We start from the raw sequence: 24,459 nt of genomic DNA on the forward strand, positions 1-24,459 counted from the left end.
ACTTATTTTTTAAAGTTCAAAGAGTTACTATCAGCTGGGCATGGTGGGTCATGCCTGTAATCCCAGCACTTTGAGAGGCTGAGGCAGGAGGATCGCTTGAGCCCAGGAGTTTGAGACCAGCTTGGGCAACCCGGAGAAACCCCGTATCTATAAAAATTTTTTTAAAAATTAGCCAGGTGTGGTGGTTGTGCCTGTAGTCCCAGCAACTGGGAGGCTAAGGCGGGAGGATCACTTGAGCCCCAGGAGGTCAAGGCTACTGTAAGCCATGATTGCTCCCTGGCCAATAGAGCAAGACCCTGTCTGGAAGAAAACAAAAAAGAATAAGAAAAAGAGTTAATCTTGGATCTCTTTTTTGTGAAAAAGTGAAACGACTACAAGTTGAATATCTCTTATCTGAGGTGCTTGGGGCCAGCGTGTTTTGGATTTCAGATTTTTGAATTAGGGATAATCAGTCAGTAGTATGTTTTGAGTCACAGGTTTCTTTGGTATCTATTTATTGAGTCTCAAACCTCACTATACGCTAGACTCACCTGTGCTCTGAGTGGCACTATATCTATGTTTTTAAGGGTTCCTAGCCAGGTGATTCCAATCTGCAACCAGGGGTAAGAGTCATTGGTCACAAAGCATAGCCTCTGGAGCACATTAGAAATGCACATTCTTGACCCCATCCCATACCTTCTGAAGAATCAGAAACTCTGGGATGAAACTCAGCAATCTGTTTTTAAATGCCCTCAAGATAATTCTGATGCATTCTAAAGTTTGAGAATTATTGTTCTAGAGCTTTGAGAGACAGCTCAATAGCACATCTCTTCAGGATGGCTACAAATTGGCATCTGTACCAAAATGTTTCCATCCCCAGAAAATGTAGACCCCAAAATTGATTTTGTGTTTACAAAGAAATGAGCCAGTGGAAATTCTACCCTCTTATATGCCTTGATACAAACCCTTCAATTTGTGCAATTGTAATTGTCAGTCACTAGGCACTGATAGACTGTATTATGGAGAATTCACTGGGTTATCTATATCAATGATGTCCAATAGAAATATACAAGCCACCTGTGTAATTTTTAATTTTTACATTAAAAAGGGGTAAAAAGAAACGTGGAATTAGTTTTAATAATATATTTAACCCAGTCTATCCCAGATAGTATCATTTCAACATGTGATCAGTATAAAAAATATGAATGAGGTATTTTACACTTACAGCACAACCTCACTTCAGGCCAGCCACATTTCAGGTGCTTGATAACTACATGTGGCTAGTAGCTGCCGTGTTAAACAACACAGATCTAATCCTTAGATACTACCAGAATTTTGTTAAATATACTATTACTAGATATAAATGAGTGAGTTTATGTAAAAATATGTTTATAGTAGAGTCTAGCCAGTAGTTCTGCCTGTCTCATACTATGTAGGTGTTCAATTATGTATGCGTTCTTTTAATTTGGCTTGAGTTGGACTTGCTGTAAGGATAGAACCATGATTTCCTGTTAATTACTTTGTTCTTGAAAGATTCCAATAAGCTAAAAAAATTGTAAGGAATATTTTTTATTATAAAAGGCATATTATAAGTTGGACATAAACATTCTGCTGGTTGTAAGAATGGGTTATTTTTAATAGTTTTCTCTGTGTTGTTAATGTTTAGAGAAGAAATAAAAGCTGGGAAGACAAATTAGAAAGGATCAAATTTATTTGAGACGGAAAATGTGTAGACAAGCAACTACTTACAAAAAAAAAACCTGTTTAGACATATTAGTCTTCTTTAAAAATCTGTTTTTATATGATTCTTTTTGATTTTGGTGTTTTGTTTTGTTTTTTTGTCAAGTAGTTGCTTGGCTACACATTTTCCTTCTCAATTAAATTTGGTCCTTTCTGATTTGTCTTCCCAGCTTTTTTTGTCTTCGCCAGGCTGGAGTGCAGTGGTGCAATCTTGGCTCGCTGCAACCTCCGCCTCCCGGGTTCAAGCGATTCTCCTGCCTCAGCCTCCCTAGTAGCTGGGACTACAGGTGCCCGCCACGACGCCTGGCTAATTTTTAGTAGAGACAGGGTTTCACCATGTTGGCCAGAATGCTCTCGATCTCTTGGCATCGTGATCCGTCTGCCTCGGCCTCCCAAAGTGCTGGGATTACAGGTGTGAGCCTCTGCGCCCAGCCTATATCATTTTTTGAAATAGTAATATATTATCTCTGGACATGGAAACATAACAAAACATAGAAGAGTTTGAGCCTCTGACAGCCCTCTATTCAAAACCCTGCTCCTCTACTAAGTGACCTTGGTCAGGCTCTCAGATATTCCTCGCTCTTTATTCCTAGTCTGTGTAATTCCTGCTTTATGGGGTTTTTGTGAAGGCTAAGGGAGTTAATGCGTTTGCACCACTTACTAAGGAGTCTGTCACATAATGCATGCTTGGGTACTGCTAGCTATTATTTTATAGCATCTTAATTAAAATCTAAAATAATGTGAAGAAAGGGAAGAATTTGAATTTTTGTTAAGTGGCCCTGTAATGTGAAGACTTAAAATTTTGATATAATAGGAAATACTCCCTTCTAGAATGTATTTAAGAACTACTTCTTTAAATTCTTACGTTTTCACTATTTCAAAATAATTTTTTCAATGTGAGTAGCAAGGAATTTTCCAAGTGAAATTCTTAATTATGATAGAAAATTACAATGATTTCCACTGTTTGTAAGAGATAATAGTCATTGTTTATTTTATTCCTAATGTTTTCGTAGATGCTTTTAAAATGTAATACATTTTAAATAGGAGATATGACTTCAAGATTTTGGAAGATTTTAATTTAGACTTAATACTATTTGATAACCCATCTTTTGCTTATATAGTTACACTTATTATTTTATTGCAGTTGAAGTATCAGAGAATCTTGGAACGATTAGAAAAGGAGAACAAAGAATTGAGAAAATTAGTATTGCAGAAAGATGACAAAGGCATTCATCATAGAAAGCTTAAGGTATTCTAAGTTTGTCTTGTTTATTCTCAAAATTTTACCGCTTAACGTTGTGTGTTCATCAGTACCAGTTTCTAAGGAGCTGTAAAGTATTCTGTCATCCTTTTCTTTCTAACCTAATGTGCTTGGAGGATGGAGGATCTCTTCCTATATTAAGACATTTTATAAGTTGTAGTCTCCAAATACTTGTTTTATACTATGCCCATAAAATCTTTACACTTTTAAGAGTTATTTCGTGTGAATCAGTTTATTTTTCTGAAATATCTAGTTTATCTCTAGGCTTAACTTTTACATAAAATTTTATATAAAATCAGAATTGTTAATTGATGGACATGTAAGTGACTTATCATCATTGCTTTACTTGTATGCCAGTGAATGATTAGACCACTTTCTTCAGTTTTTAAAAAATTAACACTTTTCTTCTAAGGAGAGCTTTCTTAGGCATTTCAAAGAACTTTCGAAAAAGTGTGTGCTGGTATTGTTACTATCAGCACATTGGTGAACTTATTTACCAATAAATCAAGTCTTACTATTCCCCACCCAACTAAACCACATGTGCTAAATTGAATTGAAACAATTATTTAACTTAAATCTCATATAAGTAAGCAGAGTTTATATGTAGCAAAACTGCAGTAAATCATGGCATGTACATTCTGTAGTCAAGGTCCAAAGATAATACAGTTCTAGCTTAACAAACATGCATTAGTAGCTTTGACTATAAATCATGACTGCATAAAACAGATAACATGACTATTTACAAGTGGCACTTAGAACTGAGAAAAGTCATTTCCAAGTGCTAATATATGTAGAGTTTACCTCAGAAACAGTATTTTCTCTCATAAAATGCAGTGGCAATTAACATTTTTTGTTTATTTTTAGGCTGGTGGGTTGGCAATTGCTTGCCATTTAATTTTTTCTAGGGATTAAGAAATGAAAGGACCCTTAAGCCATCATTTTGCTCCTGCCTTAGCATTAAAACTTATCCATAATTATTAAATGCTTGATGGTACCCCTTTTTTTCAGGCCTGTGTATTTTTTTGTTCATTCATTCATCAAATTTACATGAAGCTTGTTACACGCAATGCAAGGCACCACATTCATTTCTGATTCTACAGCAAGAAACGATACAGGATATTTGCCCTTGCTACACTCATATTTCAGCCTGCCCAGTTGTCAGTGGATACTTAACCACCCTTACTGGTTTAACAGTCTTCCTGGTTTATCCTTTATTCAGATGCTTGCTTGCACGTGCTCTCTGTCCTCTCTCTTTCTCTCTCATGCATGCCTCAAACTTAGCAAAGAATAATTTCATTGTCAGTTGGTTACCTGACCACCTTTTTTTTGCCTTTTTGGTGTTAATGGTCTTTTCTTGCATTCAGTATTAGCTCATCAGTATTAAGTAATAATTTCCATCTTATTTAATTAGAATGTTAGGAAATCCTGAATTAATTTACTTTATTAAATCATTGTATCTAAATAAACTGAATGAGAAATGGACTTTTAATCTGTACCGTTTTAGTTTTTACGATGAAGATGTATTTATGTAATTTGAGAAAACAGTACAATGATTATGGAAAAACAATTTGAATTTATCACTTTTTTCTCTTGACACATCTGTTATATTTTTTTCTTTACTTTTACTGTTTTATATTATAACTTTTTAAAATTTTTACAGAAATCTTTGATTGACATGTATTCTGAAGTTCTTGATGTTCTCTCTGATTATGATGCCAGTTATAATACGCAAGATCATCTGCCACGGGTATGTGAAAAATTGATAGTGAACTTGCCAATTAGCAAAAAAAGAAGCAGCTTAGCTTCCTAAAAATTATGTGTATATATGTACACATACACATATATACATACTAGATGTAGGCATTTATATTTTTTATGTAATCTTACATGTTCCAAGTAATGTCTTAAGCAATATTATTTGACTATTTTAGTTCATTATAAATATTAATAAATATAAGTACATTATATTTATGAGTTACTGTATGTGTTATAAAGGAAGATATTTGGCTTTATATGTCTTAATATTAGTAATATTTAAATACTGAACAGTGGATTAAATTAGCCATATGCGTGAAATTTAAGCTAATAGAATTGAAAATGTGTTTGTAAACAGTAAACTAGCTATGGAAAAGATTTATGGAAAGTTAATAACCTGGTTTTAGAAATACTGGTTTAAATTAGCACAAGTTTTTAAAATAAAAATTAGGCTATAAACAGTGGATCCAGTTATAGTTTTGCTGTTCCTATTTTCAATGTGCACACATGCATCAATCACCATTTTTTTACGGATTTTAAAATATTTTTTCACCTGTAGAAATTTTAAAAGACTAAAAAACTCAGAGCAGCATTACAAATAGGTTTTAATTTTAATTTGGTATCAGAAAAATATGAATAAGTGTTCTTTGTTTTGTGGGAAGGTTGTTGTGGTTGGAGATCAGAGTGCTGGAAAGACTAGTGTGTTGGAAATGATTGCCCAAGCTCGAATATTCCCAAGAGGATCTGGGGAGATGATGACACGTTCTCCAGTTAAGGTAAGAACATAGGCCGTCTCAGTGAGGTTCCTTAGGAGAGTAACTGCTTCAGTGAGACCTGTTCATTGTGTTGAAATGAGGACTTTTAACCAAAGAAAGACTTGATACATAGTGTTTGGAATGATCCCTAGTGTGGAAATCAGTAGAAGGCACAGCCAGGAGGCCAGTGTGGCAGGAGCTGAGTGAGGGGAGAGTGGTAGGAGAGGATGACAGAGACCCAGTTGGGAGGCCTTTGGATTTTATTCTGAATAAGATAAGAGAGAAGTTAAGAGAATGAGAATATTGGAAGTGGAGTCAATGAATATAGATAATTTTCTAGTTTTATTGTGACAAAAGAGCAGAGAAATGAAGCAGTAGCAATTGAATATTGTTGAATTAAGGGAAGGTTTTTAACCCTTTTCCTGTTTAGAAAAAAAGTGCAGCTCAACACCAGTGCTCATTTAATTTTACGTAAACACACTCTCTGAAGCTGAAGCAAATCTGACTAATTTTCAATGTGAAAATAAAATATAAAAACTGTTCTTAGAGTTATTTCTAAACAGTACTAACATCAGAATCGTCCCAATCATCAGAATGTCTGTTTTTTAAAAGTCAGATTTATCAAATCAATCTTCGGCCAACAACTTTTTGAGAATGATGTAAACATCACACATAGGAATTCCGCATTTTCTAGGATTTGACATTTTCAGCTATTGAAAATTACTATATTTTGTAAATGGACGTACCGCTACTAAAAACAGAATGCTTGAAATAGAATGTCTTTTGTTTCCAAAGTCAGTACACTAGAGCTATGTGAAAATAATCATAAAAGTGAAGATATTTTATGGCAGAGTTATGTTGGGGCAAATGCTGCAGCTGCAAGCGGTGCTGGCAAATATTGTCGGAGCAAGTGGGAAAAGGATTAAAGATGTTTATATGCTGATTATAATGATCTAATAAAGGGGGGAAATGATGCAAGAGAGAGGGAAAATTGCAAGAGCAAAGTTACTGAGGTGAAGGAGATTGTGACTTGGTGTACTAGTCCATATCTGGGAGCACTGACAATTTCTCCAGGGTCACAGGAAGAAGGTATGGGGCTGCAGAGTCTTTCATTGAACAGATATTTACGGAATGCTTAATATGTACCAGTAGCATTCTAGGCAATATGTTGGTAAACAGCAACAACAAAGAAGAACCTTGCCTTAATGGAGGGTATGTTCTAGTAGAGGGAGACAGATAATAGATAATAAATATAATACATAATTGTATAGTAGGTTAGAAGGCAATAGTGTTGTACAACAAGAAAAAGCAGAACCAGGCAAGGAGAATGAGGGTGCCAGAGTATTCATAGATTGCATTGATAAGGTGGCATTTGAACCAAGATTTGCAGAAAGTGAGGGAGTAGTCCTGAGGATATCCTGTGTTCAGCAAGGAGAATAGCTGATGCAAAGCCTCTGAGGTGGTTGTGTGGCTGTCATGTTCAAGGAACAACAAAGAGGCCTGTGTGGTCAGGTCGGGGTGAAGAGCTAGCCATGGTCGGGGCAAATGATGACATTAGAGGAATAATGAAGAGCGGGGAGGAACAGATCAATAAGGCCTTATAGGCCATTGTACAGACTTCCGTTTTAAGTAAAATGGAAAGCCAGTGCAGGATTTCGAGCAAAGTAACAAAAGTGCCTTTTAAAAGGCTGCTCTTTTGAAAATAGTTGTAGCCAAGATGTAGAACCAGGGAGTCTAGGCTACTGGAGTATCCAGGTGATACTTGGGCTAGGGAAGTAGCAGTGAAACTGGTAAGAAATGGATAGATTATAAATGTGTTTTGAAAGTAGAATTAACAGGATTTCTTGACAGGTTTGATATGGAGAGGGGAGAGAAGAAAAGCAATGGGGAGAGAGAGAGAGAGTGTCAATCATCAATGATGCCTCCAGGGTCTTTAGCCTGAACAAATTGAAGGATGTAGTTTGCATGGAAGTCTGTCAGTGGATCAGGTTTGGGGGAAGAAGATCAGGAGTTCAGTTTTGGACTTGCTGAGTGGTGATAACAAGCAGTTGGGTATACAAGTTTAGACAGAGGTGTGGGCCAGAGACATACATTTAGGAGTCATGATCAACTATCTAAAAGTAGTATTTAAAGTCATGATCTTACTGGAGAAGATCTTCAAGGGAGTGAGTAGAGATAGAGAAAACACAGAAGCAAGCAGTATATTCTGGGCACTCTGAACATTAAGATGTTGAGGGAAGAGAAAATAACAAAGGAATGTGTGAAGGCCCAACCAGTATAGTAAGAGGGAAAGCAGAGCAGGACAGTGTGCGCAAAGTCAGGTAAACAAAAAGAAAACATGGAGGAGGAGGGAGTGCTCAGTGAGGTCACATGCTGCTGATCCATCAAGGAAGGTGAACATAGAAACCAGTCGTTGAGTTCACCAGTGGAGGCAAGAAAGGGGAACGTGTGGAAGTTTCCTTCTGATTGCTTCCGCTTACTCAGTGAAATACTAAGCCAGATGATCAGCTGTTAATTAGAAAGGAGAAGAGATTAAAGACTGAGGCAGGAAGAAAAAGTGAAGTCTGTTAACAGATCGTGGTGACTCTAGGAGTGAATCAGTGGAGAAAGTCAAGTGATATTAGGATTACTGAGGTGGACTGAAGTCCCTTTAAGTTCTGTGGACATAAATTTTAAATGAATCATTATGATTGTGTTTTGTTTTTTTCATGTTTAGCTGGTGGGGGGTAGGTGTAGAATAATTGGAAGATTGAAATTACCAAGAATTATGGCAAGAATAGTGGGAGAAAGACAGTGAGGCTGATGCTGAAATCTTCAAGAAATGAAATCTGTTTACAAGTGCAACAGGGTATGGGCAGCCTAGTGTGATTCATCTAGATTGCACTTTTGTGGGTCTAGCTATGGATTGAATCGTGTTATGTGTTACTAGTTCTGTGTGTGGTACTGTGTGACTGTACCAGACTTTACATATCCATTTTACTACCGATGGGAATTTGGGGTACATCTAACCTAGAGAAAAAAACAAAATGAACCTCAGACTACACCTCATATCCTGTTCAATAATCAGTTGTAAAAACATGGGAGAGAAACCTACCTTTTACATTGTTACTAGCATCCTAATTGTAGAAGCTGTGGATGATACTTCAAGAAGAAATTAATTTTGTTTTGGCAGGCAGGGTGTGGACAGGTTTCCTTGAAACAGATGAGGCTGGTCTCTTTCCGGTTTGTCATTAGTCCCTTAGTGTTTACTAGAGCTTCTCCTTGACCAACCCTGAATTCCAGTTTTTTGTTTCCCTAGAGCAGTGAAAGTGCCAAAACCCCAGCTTAGCATTTTAACCTCCTTAGCAGCTTCTTTCTGCTTGGTTTCCTAAAATGTGAATGCCGTGAAAGGAAATTGTGCGCAGGATGTAGGGTTTTGTTTTGTTTTGGAGGTTTATTTCTGCAGTTCATTTTTCTTTGGGATTGTGGCACCTTAAGACGTGACTACTTAATAACTCGGAATTCCAATCTTGTCTACTCAACCCAGTGAAACTGCTACACATTTTAAGTTTTTCTCTTGGGCCTTTGCCCTGTGCTACAAATCAGCAAATCCTCTGATGGAAAATAGCTAAACAGCTTTCCAACAGCTGTTTATTGTTTTTAAATTTAGCCTGTTTAGCTAATCTCAGTAGAAGGAATTGTATTTTTAAAGTAAAATAACTATAGAGAAGCTAGAAAGGTGTCAATTAGGCATTTAGAAGTTCTTGTGAAACCACTGACTGTTAATATACATTGCTATAACATTTCTTGGCTGGGTGCAGTGGCTCATGCCTGTAATCCCAGCACTTTGGGAGGCTGAGGAGGGCGGATCACCTGAGGTCAAGAGTTCAAGACCAGCCTGGCCAACATGGCGAAACCCTGTCTCTACTAAAAGTACAAAAAACTTGCCAGGTGTGGTGGCGGGCATCTGTAATCCCAGCTACTCGGGAGGCTGAGGCAGGAGAATCACCTGAAACCGCGAAGTGGAGGTTGCAGTGAGCCGAGATCATGCCACTGCACTTCAGCCTGGGCGACAGAATGAGACTCGGTCTCAAAACAAACAAAAAAACAAACAAAACAAAATTTCTTACCCAAATATCACTCCTTGAGTGAAGCCTGTCGTAGCTCCCTTATCATCAGTTCCATTCTCTTCTGTGGCACCCTAGGTTTTGTCACTCTCTTCTATTATGTCTGTGTATATTTCTCCCAGCATGTGATGAGGTCTAAAACTGGGACAGTCAGCTCTGTGTTTCCCCACCTACAACACCTGACACATAGTTCACTCTCTATAGAGGTTGAATGAATGAATTGTCCTTTACCTAAATTCATCTTTGAGGTTAAATGCAAGGTTTCCTTTTAGTGTTTCAAGTTTTAGAGAGATGATTTTGGGCTTAGTGCTGTGTATAGCATTGACTGGGGAAAGAAAGAGGCAGCAGCATTTTAGGTCATAAGCGATATAAAGGAACCAGCATTCTTGTTGGGAAATCACAACATATATGACATATATACAAACAATACAAATACAAAATTATTGTCTTGTCAGAACTACCATGTTGACAGCTTCAGGGGGTGCCCCAGCAGTAGTGTGAAGGGACTCTTGGATTTGTGCAATGCAGTAGCCCTGTCTAGACCACATACGGGCTGTGGGAATTAATATTACTTATAAATACATCATTACCTCTCAGTTTTCTGTTACTATCAGGTGACTCTGAGTGAAGGTCCTCACCATGTGGCCCTATTTAAAGATAGTTCTCGGGAGTTTGATCTTACCAAAGAAGAAGATGTAAGTAAAATTCATCTAAGGTTGATATGTGTAATTTTATAACCTGGATGAGCTTATAAAAGACAGTTAAAGAATATTTGTGAATTAAGATTTTCTTAGATTTTCTTAGGATTTTGTGTTTTCCATTAGCTTGCAGCATTAAGACATGAAATAGAACTTCGAATGAGGAAAAATGTGAAAGAAGGCTGTACCGTTAGCCCTGAGGTAAGGGTTGCAATTCATTTCAGTGACGTTTTATGGAAATTAAATGTTTATGATTTCAAATAAATCAAAATCTAGGTATTGATGTTTAGATTGCTGCTATCTAGATATGTAGAGCTTTTAAAAAAAAATCCAAATAATATATCATTTTGTGGGTAATTTTCCAGAATAATTACTTTTAGGATCAGAGAAAGAATACCATTTTTGTGAGCGTCTTATCTGAATGGATGAGATATAGAATTTTTAGAATACATTTCACCAAAAAAAATTCTTGACAAATTCCCCCCAAACTTTAGCATTGTTTTATTTTTATTTTTCCTGAGTAGACCATATCCTTAAATGTAAAAGGCCCTGGACTACAGAGGATGGTGCTTGTTGACTTACCAGGTGTGATTAATGTAAGTATATACAAAACATGTATTTTATTTTATTCTTATTGTGTGAAGCATTTATAATGACATTTAAAACCTTTTTCTTTAAGACTGTGACATCAGGCATGGCTCCTGACACAAAGGAAACTATTTTCAGTATCAGCAAAGCTTACATGCAGAATCCTAATGCCATCATACTGTGTATTCAAGGTAAATCATATCAAAAGATTTTAATGTACTGATATGTTTTCTTCTTTAGCAATCCAAGCTTTGCATTAAATAGTTTGTGTTATGTAAACATACAAGATAAATGCATTTTTGCCTTCTCTTCGTATTCATTTTATTAGTAAATTAAATTGAAGTTGAAATTATTTTGATAAGTTTTACATAAGCATCATTGAAATTTTTATCGGCTAGGATTTCTTTTTAGTAAATAACGTAAATGTATTAAAATCTTTCTTGCTATAATGTAGACACAGGGGTATAATTTGTACTGAGTTTTAAAAGTCTACTTTACATCTTAAAATTCCACAGTGTCATTTTTTTATTTTTTTCAGATGGATCTGTGGATGCTGAACGCAGTATTGTTACAGACTTGGTCAGTCAAATGGACCCTCATGGAAGGAGAACCATATTCGTTTTGACCAAAGTAGACCTGGCAGAGAAAAATGTAGCCAGTCCAAGCAGGGTGAGGTCAAATTCTTTGTTGCGAGAATAGATTCTTTGTAAAAGCTCCAGCTGTGATAGGGATTTGTTATTTAAAAAAACAACAACAACAACAAAAAAACACCTTACAACTAAGATTTATTACAATGAAAGGATAAAGCAAAATCACAAAAGGAAATGGTACATGGTATGAAGTCTGAAGGAAACCAGGCTCACGTTTTTCCACTAGTTCATTCCCAGTAGACTCTACTGGGCACATTTAATTCCTCCAGCAACAAGCTGCTTGTTAGAGACTCAGCTCCTAAGGTTTTCATCGGAGGTTAGTCATTTCGGCACCCTCATGTACCAAAATTATTTCATACTCCCAAAAGGAAAGCATATGTTATAATTAAACCACATTACTTCAGTAGTGAGCCACTGTTATATAAGGAAAGGTTTATATCAGTGTAGGGAACTGTTTACCAGTTAAGTTTTCAGATACCAGCCAAAGACAGGCAGGCCTTTTTAAGGACAGTAGTCTCAGGCCTGCTGTGTTAACCCTTTTCTAGGTAGCCACCATAACCTCTGTTCTGCTTTCTTTTTAAGGGTAAGGCCTGCCGTGGCATTAATGGTTCTGATATGGAGAAGGGGAGAAGTGAGGTAGAAACAAATTTCTGTGGCCTCCTCCCCATCTTTCTTCATTCCTTTCATTTCTTTCAACTCTAGGATAGTGAGTTTATATTTCTTCTGAGATGCAACTGAAGCTTATTTCAGTCCTTTTTGTATAAAAGATTCAGCATTAGCTTAGGTGTAACTTGTCTTAAAGGAGGGATTCTCATCCCATTATTAATCTGAATGGGCTTCAGGGGGTAGAAACTCTAACATATGTGAAAGGTCTCTATGCAAATATGCATTTTTCTGGGTACATAGTCTTTTTTTTTTTTTAGTCACATTTAGAAATGGATTTTTGATCCTAAAAGAGTTGAGAAGCAGTGGATCCAAATATTAAAGAAGAAGGTGGGAGGGGAGGAAGGAGTAAAAGAAGACAATCCAGCTTGGTTAGAATTTAGATATTTGAAGAAAGTATGGAAAAATAATAATAGCTACCATTTATTGAGTGCTTCATGCCTGGCACTGTATCATATTGTCCCATAATCTCACCAACCTTTTTGAAAAAATTAAGTTGTTTACTTAAGGTCGCATAACTACTAGGCAGCAGAGCAGGAATTCAAACTAAGGTCTGTCTGACTTTAAAGAACTACACATCATTCCGGGTTTTCGATACGTGTGTTTTAATAATACATTTTCAATGTAGTAAAATTAAATGTATTTTTTTCAAATAGCAATGGAAAAACATTTTAAATGCTTTTGTGCAGATTTATTTAACTATATACATGTATAGCATTATTTTGCTTTCTAAATTGTATATTACGCTTTTAAAACTTATGTAAACTATATCTCACATTAATTTTTCCCACTTTTAAAAATAGATTCAGCAGATAATTGAAGGAAAGCTCTTCCCAATGAAAGCTTTAGGTTATTTTGCTGTTGTAACAGGAAAAGGTATGCAAAGATGGATTATAATAACTTATTTTTAGTTTCTGTTGTTTTCAAATAATAAAGAGTAATTTTCTTGATGAAAATTTGACCATCATTCTTCCCCAGGGAACAGCTCTGAAAGCATTGAAGCTATAAGAGAATATGAAGAAGAGTTTTTTCAGAATTCAAAGCTCCTAAAGTAGGTATCTTGTTAAAACATTTAAACATTTTACAGTAAGAGAGTAGCTTAAATTGAACTGTTTTCACTTAAAACATCAGGTTTTATAACTATTAGTTTAACATCGGATTTCTAGAATTTTTCCCAAATAGTGAACTGTATCTAATAAACAAGTCCTTAGCTACTTTTTGGCAGAATTGAGAGCAGTTTATCACATGGTACAATACATACTGGCATGCTTCCTTGGACGTGGGCACTGAAAGACAACATAGATATCTGCCTCTTACTTTATTTTACTTATAAAGTGGTTTTAGAAAATCGACGCTTTCACTTTTAAACGTGTACATATTTCTCTTACAGTATTGGGGAAGATTGGAGTGGGGTTGTCGAAGAAGTATCCCTAGATATATATTGACAGGAGATAAGATAAGCAAAAAGAGCTAAAGGCCAGTTGTATTACTGTATACTAAAACTTTATATGTTGAGTTTCTGGAAATAGAAAAGTATGTTTGTTCCTAGGTTAGTACGGTAAGTCAAGATAGTTCTTGCAAACCATAATCTTACGTGCTTTGGGGAGTGCACTGACAACATATAGAACTGTGCTGTCTAATATGGTATCACTAGTTTTGTGTAGTTATTAAAATTTAAATTAGTTGGAATTAAATTAATTTCTGGAAGATGGCTTTCTTCATGTTCTTTTTAAAGGCATGGTGGCTCACACCTGTAATCCCAGTACTTTGAGAGGCCAAGGCAGGCGGATCACTTGAGGCCAGGAGTTTGAGACCAGCCTGTCCAACATGGTGAAACCCCATCTCTACTAAAAGTACAAAAAAAATTAGCTGGGCATGGCGATGGGCAGCTGTAACCCCAGCTACTCAGGAGGCTGAGGCGGGAGAATCGCTTGAACCCCGAGGGGGTGGGGGGCGGAAGTTGTAGTGACCCAATATCACGCCACTGCACTCCAGCCCGGACGACAGTGCAAGATTCCAATTCAAAAAAATAATAAAATAAAATATAACATTAAATTTAAATTAGTTAAAATTCAACAAAATTCAAAATACAGTTCCTCAGTTACACTAGCCACACATTTCCAGGGCTCAATAACCCAGTGTGCCAGTAGCTACCGTATTGGAATGTTTTCCTCCTCACATAAATTTTTATTGAACAGCACTGGTATGAAAGGTAAGAGTGGCTGTTAGCAAGCACATTCGCAGACTTGGTGGTAGTATTGTTGTCCTTTTTGTCATTTTAATATACTTTAGCTCTTGTTATTTTTTTTTAATAGGACAAGCATGCTAAAGGCACACCAAGTGACTACAAGAAATTTAAGCCTTGCAGTATCAGACTGCTTTTGGAAAATGGTACGAGAGTCTGTTGAACAACAGGCTGATAGTTTCAAAGGTAAGTTGGATTTTTTAAAGAAGCAAGCAAATTAAGACATTTTATTAGCTGGCAATCTTTGGCATCCATACGATTCTGTACTTCTTTCCTTTAACAGTTGCTTGGTAGTTCATTTACAATTAGACAGTATCTGGAAAATAGAAGAATACAAACCTTCAGTTGTTATACAAGAACAAGATTTTTCCTTTCAGAGGAAACATCTCTAGAAACACATTTGCAGAGTTCAAACAGATGAGAACATTTGCTAGTGCTTGGAAGTACACAATAAACTATAGAGAATTCTAGATTCACCCTGTTGAGGATGAAGGAGCAGATGTGTTGGGAAGCAGAGCCCTCTGAACTTCCTTTACTTGGCACCATTTCCTGAATCCCACACTTTCCTGCTCAGTGTCTTTTATCGGAAGAGAATATATTTGCTTTCTCTTTTCCCATATGTAAATCCTACCTGATCCTACCTATTTATGCCAGTTAGTCCCTCTGCAATCTTGTATTACTTTCATTTCCATTTTACAGAAGAGGAAACAGAAGACAGTTACTTACCCAAATAACTTATCCTATTACCCAGTGTCACACAACATGGGTAATAGGCCCAGGATTTGGCTGTTGGTGGTACAACTGCAGAGTCCATTCTCTCAGCAGCTCTATGGTACTAAACTACTTCAGCTGTGTGCTAATGGATTTAACATGGAGAAACTAGAATCAGGGAGAATAGTTTTGAAAGCTATTGCAAAAATGAAATTCTGAGACGTTGAGATCCCAGAGTACTAAGGGGTCATAGGCGCACTCTCAGAAATTCAGTTAATACAGAGGATATGTATTTTAACCACTTTAACCACTACATCTGGAAAGAAGGAGGGTCATCAAACTTGAACTTTTCCTTCTTCCTCAGCAACACGTTTTAACCTTGAAACTGAATGGAAGAATAACTATCCTCGCCTGCGGGAACTTGACCGGGTAATATTTGGATACTCGTGTATTTTGTATATATCTTAATTTAATGTTGTTTGCTAACTAAATTTATGTTGAGAGAAAAATCTGATAAGCTAAAGTACTTTGGTTTTGACTATAACTACTAATTTGTAAGAATACATCTCTAGGAGCAGTTATCTCTTTCAGTAATTTAAATTATTTATTATATAACATTAAAAATGGATTATAAGATGTCAAAACAAGTGTTGAAAGTGTTTTCTGAGAAGGTAATGAATGTGCTTTAAAGGTTTTGTAGAATTCGTGTATTCCTGTAATTTAGTGGGAATTAAACATTGTTTTTCCTTGATTTTAAAATCCCCATTAGTTAATAAAACACAGCATTAATATATAGTTACTGATGTACTAAATTAATATGTATTGATGCTTTCACATAACGTGAACAAGTGTTATGTGAAAAACTGCATTCAAACTTGAGAAGGTAGATATTTATGTCAGTTTCTTTGTCCTTATCTGCATAATGGCATTCCTAAAAAAAAACACTAGAAGTGCATTTTTGCTAGTCATGTATAATTAAACCCAAATTCAGCCTAGTCAAAAACCTCCCTTTGGTTATCTCTGAAAATCATGACAGGGTAAATTTACTGTCTTATGGAAATCTTACTTACTTGTATTTATATTGCCTAGAATGAACTATTTGAAAAAGCTAAAAATGAAATCCTTGATGAAGTTATCAGTCTGAGCCAGGTTACACCAAAACATTGGTAAGTATTTGATATTAATCTCTTTTCTGAAAGACTTTACTGTACAGGTTATAATGAAATGCTAAAACTTAGATTGATAAAGCAGTGATTTATTGTTGCCTTGGCTCATAGGCAAAAACGTAATAGTATATTTTTTTGGCAATATCTAACTACTTTTGTAGTCTAACCAGTTGAATTTCTTCATGTTCTTTTTAAATCTTGATTCTCTTTGCCTTTTCTTTATCTTATACCTAATAAATACGTAATCATGATTTCTGTAAAATCCTTTGGGCAGAAGTTTTGTCAAATTATACTTTAGGTAAATATCAACCTGTCAAAATTGATTTATAAAGGGAGTTGGTATATATTTTCAGGTTCTCCATTCTGAGTAAGAACAGTTAGTGCTTTCTGTAACATGTGGTTAATATGTTGTATACAAATCACATTTTGAACTTAATGCTATTAATACTTGAAATTTTTAAAAATAGCAAGTAAATGCACCTTTTTGAAAAATATGTTAATCTTTTCTAAGGCAAACTGTTACCTTCAGTTTATATTTTATGTAAGTTTGGCCATTCCTAAATTCAGTGGAATGAGACACGGTAAAACAAGCTATGTATAAATAGCCTTGACATTTTTGTAGTCACATGTTAATTAACAAATTCCTCATGCAGAAATTATCTTTCTAATGAAGACTGTGGTATTTTTAAGAATTTATTTTTGGAGCAGAGCTATCCTCACTGCCATTCATTGTAAATATTTTCTGTACCTAGTCTATTCACTCAGTTAAAGGTTATCAAAAGTGAGCCTAGATAGTAGTATCTGGTCTGTTTGAATTCAGCATCACTAGTTTCCTCATTTCAGTGCCCTTTCTTCCTCAGTGGTGAAACCTCTTCTATCTTCAAGTAGTCCACATTTGCCTGTTTTTAATCTCCGTTCCTTATCCAAAAAAAGAGATCTAATTGTATCTATTCTTGTTGATTAATCAAACATTGTTATGACACAACTTATGTTTGTTTATTTGTATCTTAGCCCAGTTCCATGGCTTTGTGTCAGTCAGCTTTCAAGTTACAAAGAGATATATAGGTTTACAGATTGAGTATAATACTAGTTGCCTTGCTAGATTGTATGAGGGCATTTAATGTATATAAAAGTGATATGTAAACTGTAACAACTAATAATGCTGTTTATGGGGAGAAAATGTGGTCCTTCTATAAATTAATTTTTGGTATCATCAAATGGAAAGGTTAGTTTTGTTTGGACAGAGCAACCCTGAAATCAAAGTATTTCTTCACTAAAGTGAGCCTTGAAGATAAATGTAATTTATTTAATACAAAGGTAACTGAAGAGAATTGTGAGGGGACAGTGAACGCATACCACCAGATTGCCCATTGAAAAGGCAACGGTCAGATCTGGGACATCTGGCTGCTAGAGATTTACTTGTGTAAGCTGCCGGATCATATATGATTCTCTGTGTTTTCAGACTGTAGAGGCTGAAAAAATGTTATGTTAACGCAAATATAAATCAGAGTAGCAGGTCCAAGCCTTAGCTGTTCATACCACATTGAATTCAAGTACATTACACCCCAAATATTTTCCACATATTTTATTATTTTGACATAGTTGATGTTGTCTTGAAGTTTTTATTGGTATCTTTTTGCTGAATAATCCTATGTGATATTTTAGGACACTGCCTAAAATGTTTACAATTATTTAAGTCATAAGACTGTTTGATCTATATTTGGTTATCTGGAAAGTGTTAAAAGCATTTTATGTCATAACATGACAGTTTGTTATTTCCTTTAGACATTCCACTGTCCTTCAGTTAAGTTTTAGGAAGGTTATTAGGGGTATAGATTTGACATATAATACATTATAGTAGGAAATACTCACTCAGCATTTTTACGCTGTGCCTGGTTTTCAAGAGTGAATCACTGACATTCAGAAGGAGATATTGATATATCATTAACATCATGTGACCAGCAATGTAGACATATCTTTTCTAGAAGGATAGCTGGCTAGCTTCACAGAAATACATTTTTTCTAAAAATGCTACTATGGTACATTTTTAGAAATTCTCGGACTTCAGAAATCAAAGATTTGCAATATCATAATTTGAAATTTAAAACATGAATAAGTGTTAAGGCAGAGGCAGGAATATGGTAAGGGCCACGAGATGAGAACAAGAAAGGCGACACAGGTAGCTGTGTCCTGTGGCTTTAACATAAATGGGGGCAAGAGGCAGGAGATAAAACAGTAGATGTAAGCAAAATATTGGGTTTATTAACCATATTCAGAAGCTTAGTGTGTATTCCATAAGCAGTAGGGGGAGGGTGGTCACTGAAGAGGATTAGGTCAGGTTTGCATTTTAGAAAGGTCTTTGTAGTAGGCAAAATGGAATACAGGCGGAGAAAACTGTAAGCAAGGAGGCAGTTGGCTTTTGCAATAATTTAGGCAAGATGTGATCATGGCTTAAACTTGGATAGTGAGTGGTAGTACAGGTAGAGAAGAGACACTTGTGAGATACTTGAGAGGTTACCTAAAAGATAGAATTGACAGGATTTAGTGATTGTGTAGATAATGAAGAGTCTATTAAATAATGAGTATGTTTATATTCAGTAATTACATTGCTAGGAATATATGCAAATGATATATTTGACAAAGATGAACACACAAGACCTTTCACCTTGATTTTTTAAATAAATGTGAAGAAATGGAAAGCAATTTATGTGTCCCATTTGGAATTATATAGTATTTGGTTTATATAGAGCAGATTACTGCTCTATGGATAGAAGTAGCCTTTGAAAAGTATAGGATGTTGACATGGAAAACTAAATACAATATACTTTTAGATTTAAAAAAGGGATTTATAAAACAGTATGTATAATTATGAACCACTTGTGTAAATACACACAAATAGTTACGTAGACATAATTTTTTTAATAATAAAACCATAAATAGTGGTTATCTTATAAAAGAGGAACTATGGGGTACTTCTTACATTTTCTGTATTGGTTGAAATTATTATATGGAGTATAATAGTCCTCTACTTTAAAATAAAAAAAAATCCATTTTAAAAAGAATTTAATTAAAGTGGAATGTAGGTAAAGTTTCTGTAGATAAAGAAGGCAATAAAACTATTACCTTTATTATATTTTGCTAATTATATTTTGTGTATTAGTAGAAGTTATCCCTGGTTGATGGCAAAACCTGGAATAGAGAAGTCACCTATAATAACACAGAATATAGTCCAGGCACGGTGGCTCATGCCTGTAATCCCAGCACTTTGGGAGGCCCCTATGGTCGGATCACTTAAGCTCAGGAATTCAAGACCAACCTGGGCAACATGGTGAAAACCCTGTCTCTAATAAATATACAAAAATTAGCCAGGCATGGTGGTGCACGCTTGTAATCCCATCTACTTGGGTGGCTGAAGTGGGAGAATCGCTTGAACCCAGGAAGCGGAGGTTGCTGTGAGCCGAGACTGTGCCACTGCACTTCAGCCTGGGTGACAGAGTGAGACCCTGTCTGAAAACAAACAAACAAAAAAAAAAAACCATAGAATATAGGCTGGGAAAATTGTTAGATGATAGCAGCAAGCAATAAGGTAGCAGATGACATAACTAGATGAAGTGGCTTCACAGTGTAATGGTTTTTATATGAACATTGAGAACTGATGGTTCAGAAGAGAGACTGGGGTGAGGAGGACTTAACTTCTACTTTCTAACTCTGAAGGCCATTTAACTGCTGAATAGCTTCATCTCAGCAGAATTTGAGGACAGAGGACAATCACTTTCCTTAAGGAAAGGTTTGGAGGTAAGAATAGGGAAAGAGAATGAGAGTGTAAAATGGTTTGTCATGGAACCGGGTATTACAGGAGCACAACAGAAATTGTTGGGATGGAGGGGAGCAGTGGGAGTCTGAGACAGAGGACAGCAGCTTGGCGATGAAAGGCAGGAGAGGCTGGGCAAGGAGAAGTGATAACAGCTGCATCTGTGGATGTCAAAGCAGCAACCTCCCTTGAGAAAGTTGCCTTTAGCTTCTCGGGATTTGGTAATCAGGATTTTAAAAAGGGTGTCAGGGATATGGATTCCTGGCCCACAGACTCCAGGGAAAAATAACAGACTATGTCTCTTCTGAAGCAGGATGAGAAAAAAGCCCTGGAGGTCAGAGGCTGGATCCTGGTCTTCAGTTCAACTTTCAGTAATCTTCTTGAGATTGTGTATAAAGTGGTATCTGAAGAGGAGGCCCTGACAGGCTGCTTTTCTTCATCTTGCTCCTTAAATTCTCCCACTCTCTGTCATTAACTCAGTGACTAAATTGTCTTTGTCCTTTTGGGCCCCAGTCATATATCCTCCTCAGACTCTGATTTCTTTACTGGTTGTAACTGGAAAGTGACCTGAAAGTTAGCAGTGGGAAACCAGGATCTGTGTTGATTGATTCAGTAGACTTAATTTTACACAAAATGTTTAGTAAATAGTCTTGGAGGGTAGGAGATGTTGACTCTCCTCACCAGAGAAGTTCAGCTGGGCTTTTGGACAGCAGGATATTTCTGCTACCCTGAGATTTGTGGCTATATCCTAAAGGGTTGAGATTATTCTTAAGAAGGATCCCCTGATAAGCAGAGTTTTTTTTTTATATTGTAGTATTCTAAGTTTATTACCCAAATAAATATTTCCTTGAGATTTCAAATTGAAATAGTTGTATTTTTTTATTAGTGACCCATGTTCTTTTAAGATGTCTTTCAAGGCAGAATTTTCAACATGATTATGCATCTTTTACATTGTTACCTTAATCATGAATTATTGAAAAATTTTATCTACAGCATTCTATAACATCTCTGTGCTGTGATCTGATAAGTTGTCATATTTATACCAAGAAATTTTCAGTCTCAGACTCTCCCGTAAGCACATGAAGTATATGTTAATACTAGGCAGATAAGTGTGCATGAAAAGATGCTCAGAATTATTAGTCATTAGAGAAATACAACGTAAAACCACAATGACCACTATAAACTTACTAAAATGGCTACAATTTTAAATGACAGACTATACCAAGTGTTGGCAAGGATGTAGAGGATCTAGAACTCTCATTCTCTGCTAGTGGAAATGTAAACTGAGGCAAACATTTCAAAAAAAAATTAAACATGTAATTACCATATGATCCAAACATTCCACTCTTAGGTATTTACCTAAGAGGAATGAAAGCATGTGTTCATAAGAAAGACTTGTACGTGAATTCTCATAGCAGCTTTATTTGTAGTAGCCAAAAGCTGGAAACAGCCTAAGGGTCTATCAACACAAGAATGGATAAACACATTCATGCAACATAATACTACACAGAAATAAAAAGAAGTGAAATATTGCTAGATGCGGTGTCTCACACTTGTAATCCCAACACTTTGGGAGGCCAAGGCAAGAGGATTGCTTGAGCCCAGGAGTTCAAGACCAGCCTCAGCAACATAGTGAGACCCCATCTCTACAAAATTTTAAAAAATTAGCCAGGCATAATGGCGTCCACCTGTAGTCCCACCTACTCGGGAGGATAAGGTGGGAGGATGGCTTGAGCCCAGGAGGTTGAGGCTCCAGTGAGCCATGAATGTGCCACTGTACTCCATCCAGCCTGGGCAACTAAGCAAGACCCTGTCTCAAAAAAAAAAAAAGTGAAATATTAATACATACAACAGCATGATGAACCTCAAAATAATTATGCTGGAGTGGAAGAACAAAGACAAAAAAAGAGTATATGCCACATGATTGCATTTATATAAATTTCTAGAAAATACAAAGTAATCACAGTGACAGAAAGCAGTTCCAGTGGTTACAACTTTTGAGGATGATGGATGCGTTCATTATCTTGACTGGTGCGATTTACAGGTATATACACATGTGAAAACTTATCAAAATTTTAAATATGTACAGTTTATTATAAGTTAATGATACTTCAGTCAAGCTGTTTTTAAAAACAATATTATATTTAGATTTGGTGCTTTTGATACTTTTTTATTTCAGGGAGGAAATCCTTCAACAATCTTTGTGGGAAAGAGTATCAACTCATGTGATTGAAAACATCTACCTTCCAGCTGCGCAGACCATGAATTCAGGAACTTTTAACACCACAGTGGATATCAAGCTTAAACAGTGGACTGATAAACAACTTCCTAATAAAGCAGTAGAGGTTAGGATATAATTTAATTAAATGGGTAAGAAGCATTATCTGAAGGGAGTAGGAGCTGTGAATTTTAGATTTTATTCCCATCACAGCCTCTATCTTTCTTTTAGGTCTTTATATCTCATTTATTCTTTATTCCTCATCTCTGTTTTGGGACTAACCTTAATGTTGCTACCAGTTACTACGGTTATAAAAATTTACTAATTGGTATGATGTTGGCCTGAGGGTATTGGTACTTCTTCCAAAGACAATATTTAACAAGCAAATTTTGCTTGAATATGAAATATTTGCTTGAGTATTTGCTTGAATGTGAAATATTTTGAACATTTTCTGTGGATTCTGTGGATTATAGAGATTCCATAAAGAAAATACTTAATAGATGAAGCATTTCATCTGAGCTCAGTTATACTTAAATTATCATTTTCTTAGGATCCTGACAGAAGATTAAACTAGGAATTATTAAAAAACAAAACAAAACAAAACAAAAAACTACCTTAAAGAATCTATTTCTGCTACCATGTATCTTGGCTTTATCACTTAATAGCTGTGTGATCCTTTGCCTAGTTGCTTAACTTTCCTATGTGTTTTTTCATCTATAAAATGGTGACAATAATGTTGCCTACCTCACAGCATTGTTATAAGGATTAAGTAAGTAATTATATGTAAAATACTTAGACAATGCCCAGCCCATGGTAACTGCTCAGGGAATGGACCTGCTGTTATTATGGTCCTCATCATCTGAATTGATCCATCATGTACATCACCCCATAAACAGCGATTGTTCAAGCTAAGAGTCAGTGTGTCCTGTGCTTGTGTGTGAGGTTGCTCACAAAATTGAAGTCAATGTTAAAAGTAATTTTGTTTTTCATACCTATCTTAAAGGCAGTGTCAGTTTCTAATTATTCGGATGTGATTTCACCCCTTTCCTATCTTGCTCCAGTGTTAACTTCCTTATCTCTGTTCTCAATTTCTTCAAGCCCCTTTCTAAGAACTCCAGCAGCCTCCCTGCCTAAGTTGCACGTTGCTGAGCCCTGGCAGTTCTTGACACATTTACCCCTGAAGAAGTTAGAGAGCTGCTGCTACCCCTTCAGTAGCTCTCATTACTGGCACTAACATTTTTTCTGCGCCCTGTCCCATGATAGGATATTTTCACATCCTAAGGTTCAAGCAGTGGAAGTGGTTATGAAAGCATCAATTTTTCTTTCCACTGCTGCTTTCTGTCCCTCAGCACTAGGTGTCATGGAAAGAATGTAGATCTGGTGAGAAGGTCAGGAAACATGGATCTTAATACTCACCCCACCACTCACTCCGTATTTTTGGACAGTCACTTTCTTTTTTAAAATGAGAGAGGGCTAAAATCCAGCATTAAAAAGCCCACATAGTTATAAGTAGATTTTGTTCTTCATTATTTTTGACACTGTGCTCTTCCTTTCACCGTTCAGATCATTAGGAGTTAGCTATAATACAAAGCTGAATACTCTTCGGCTATGTTTTAAAGTGTTGGTGCATTGCTTCATATCTTTGCTTAAAGACAAAGCTATGAAGATGACTGAATCATTAAGACATTTAAAACCTTTTGCAGTGTGAAAGAAGCAGTCAGACTCATGTCTTAGAGGTTGAAATAAATAAATGAACTAACTTGGGTGGCAGGCTTAGAATACATACCTTATCTTGAAGAGACAGCCCTGTTCAGCTACAGTAGGTGGTGTCATGTAGGAATATGGGTATATCCTTCTCAGTTAGTCCAAGAGAAGCCGTAAATGCAGACTTTTATATGAAATCTCTCAATTTTTAAATATTAGCATGCAATTTTAAAAATGAGAACCGCTATACATGTCTAGGAAAACATACCAGGAAGCCATATCTGTCCCCAGCAACCCGTGTGAGACCTCTACATCATGGTTTATATTTGCCTTTTTGTTAATGTAGTTTCACATATATTTTCTGATAAGCTGATTTATTTATCACATCTGTTTGGCTTGAGCTCGTGTT

At 36.0% G+C, this 24,459-nt stretch overlaps 1 protein-coding gene and 1 long non-coding RNA gene across 21 annotated transcripts in view, besides 1 other annotated feature; one reads left to right on the forward strand and one right to left on the reverse strand.

Annotated features, from left to right (window-relative positions):
* The window catches only part of OPA1 (OPA1 mitochondrial dynamin like GTPase), a 104,604-nt gene that overhangs the window by 39,347 nt on the left and 40,798 nt on the right, over positions 1-24,459 (forward strand). For 19 of the 20 annotated variants that reach the window (NM_001354664.2, NM_001354663.2, NM_130837.3 and 16 more), the window contains 14 exons: positions 2,864-2,968; positions 4,641-4,727; positions 5,398-5,511; positions 10,211-10,291; positions 10,421-10,495; positions 10,819-10,890; positions 10,974-11,073; positions 11,421-11,551; positions 12,999-13,071; positions 13,174-13,246; positions 14,511-14,626; positions 15,516-15,580; positions 16,241-16,317; positions 22,308-22,473. In NM_001354664.2, coding sequence (NP_001341593.1) covers positions 2,864-2,968; positions 4,641-4,727; positions 5,398-5,511; positions 10,211-10,291; positions 10,421-10,495; positions 10,819-10,890; positions 10,974-11,073; positions 11,421-11,551; positions 12,999-13,071; positions 13,174-13,246; positions 14,511-14,626; positions 15,516-15,580; positions 16,241-16,317; positions 22,308-22,473 — 1,335 coding nt within the window. Of the gene's footprint in view, positions 1-2,863; positions 2,969-4,640; positions 4,728-5,397; positions 5,512-10,210; positions 10,292-10,420; positions 10,496-10,818; positions 10,891-10,973; positions 11,074-11,420; positions 11,552-12,998; positions 13,072-13,173; positions 13,247-14,510; positions 14,627-15,515; positions 15,581-16,240; positions 16,318-22,307; positions 22,499-24,459 lie in introns of all 20 variants that reach the window. The other variant, XM_047448213.1, reaches the window with a different exon arrangement.
* Positions 14,034-15,233: an enhancer, noted in NCBI's record as "BRD4-independent group 4 enhancer chr3:193364377-193365576 (GRCh37/hg19 assembly coordinates)". NCBI's record gives its function as "activates an origin of replication core promoter dependent on BRD2, P300/CBP, MED14 and CDK7 cofactors, and independent of BRD4, by STARR-seq in HCT116 cells {active_cell/tissue: HCT116}" and the evidence as "EXISTENCE:reporter gene assay evidence [ECO:0000049][PMID:35650434]".
* LOC102724808 (uncharacterized) overlaps positions 14,701-24,459 on the reverse strand; it is a 35,845-nt gene continuing 26,086 nt past the window's right edge. Inside the window, exon 5 of the long non-coding RNA XR_924835.3 lies at positions 14,701-14,756. This is a non-coding gene — a long non-coding RNA (uncharacterized LOC102724808). The remainder of the gene's footprint in view (positions 14,757-24,459) is intronic.

The sequence above is a fragment of the Homo sapiens genome, chromosome 3, assembly GCF_000001405.40.
Source record: "Homo sapiens chromosome 3, GRCh38.p14 Primary Assembly".
In the NCBI taxonomy this organism is placed as follows: Eukaryota; Metazoa; Chordata; class Mammalia; order Primates; family Hominidae; genus Homo; species Homo sapiens.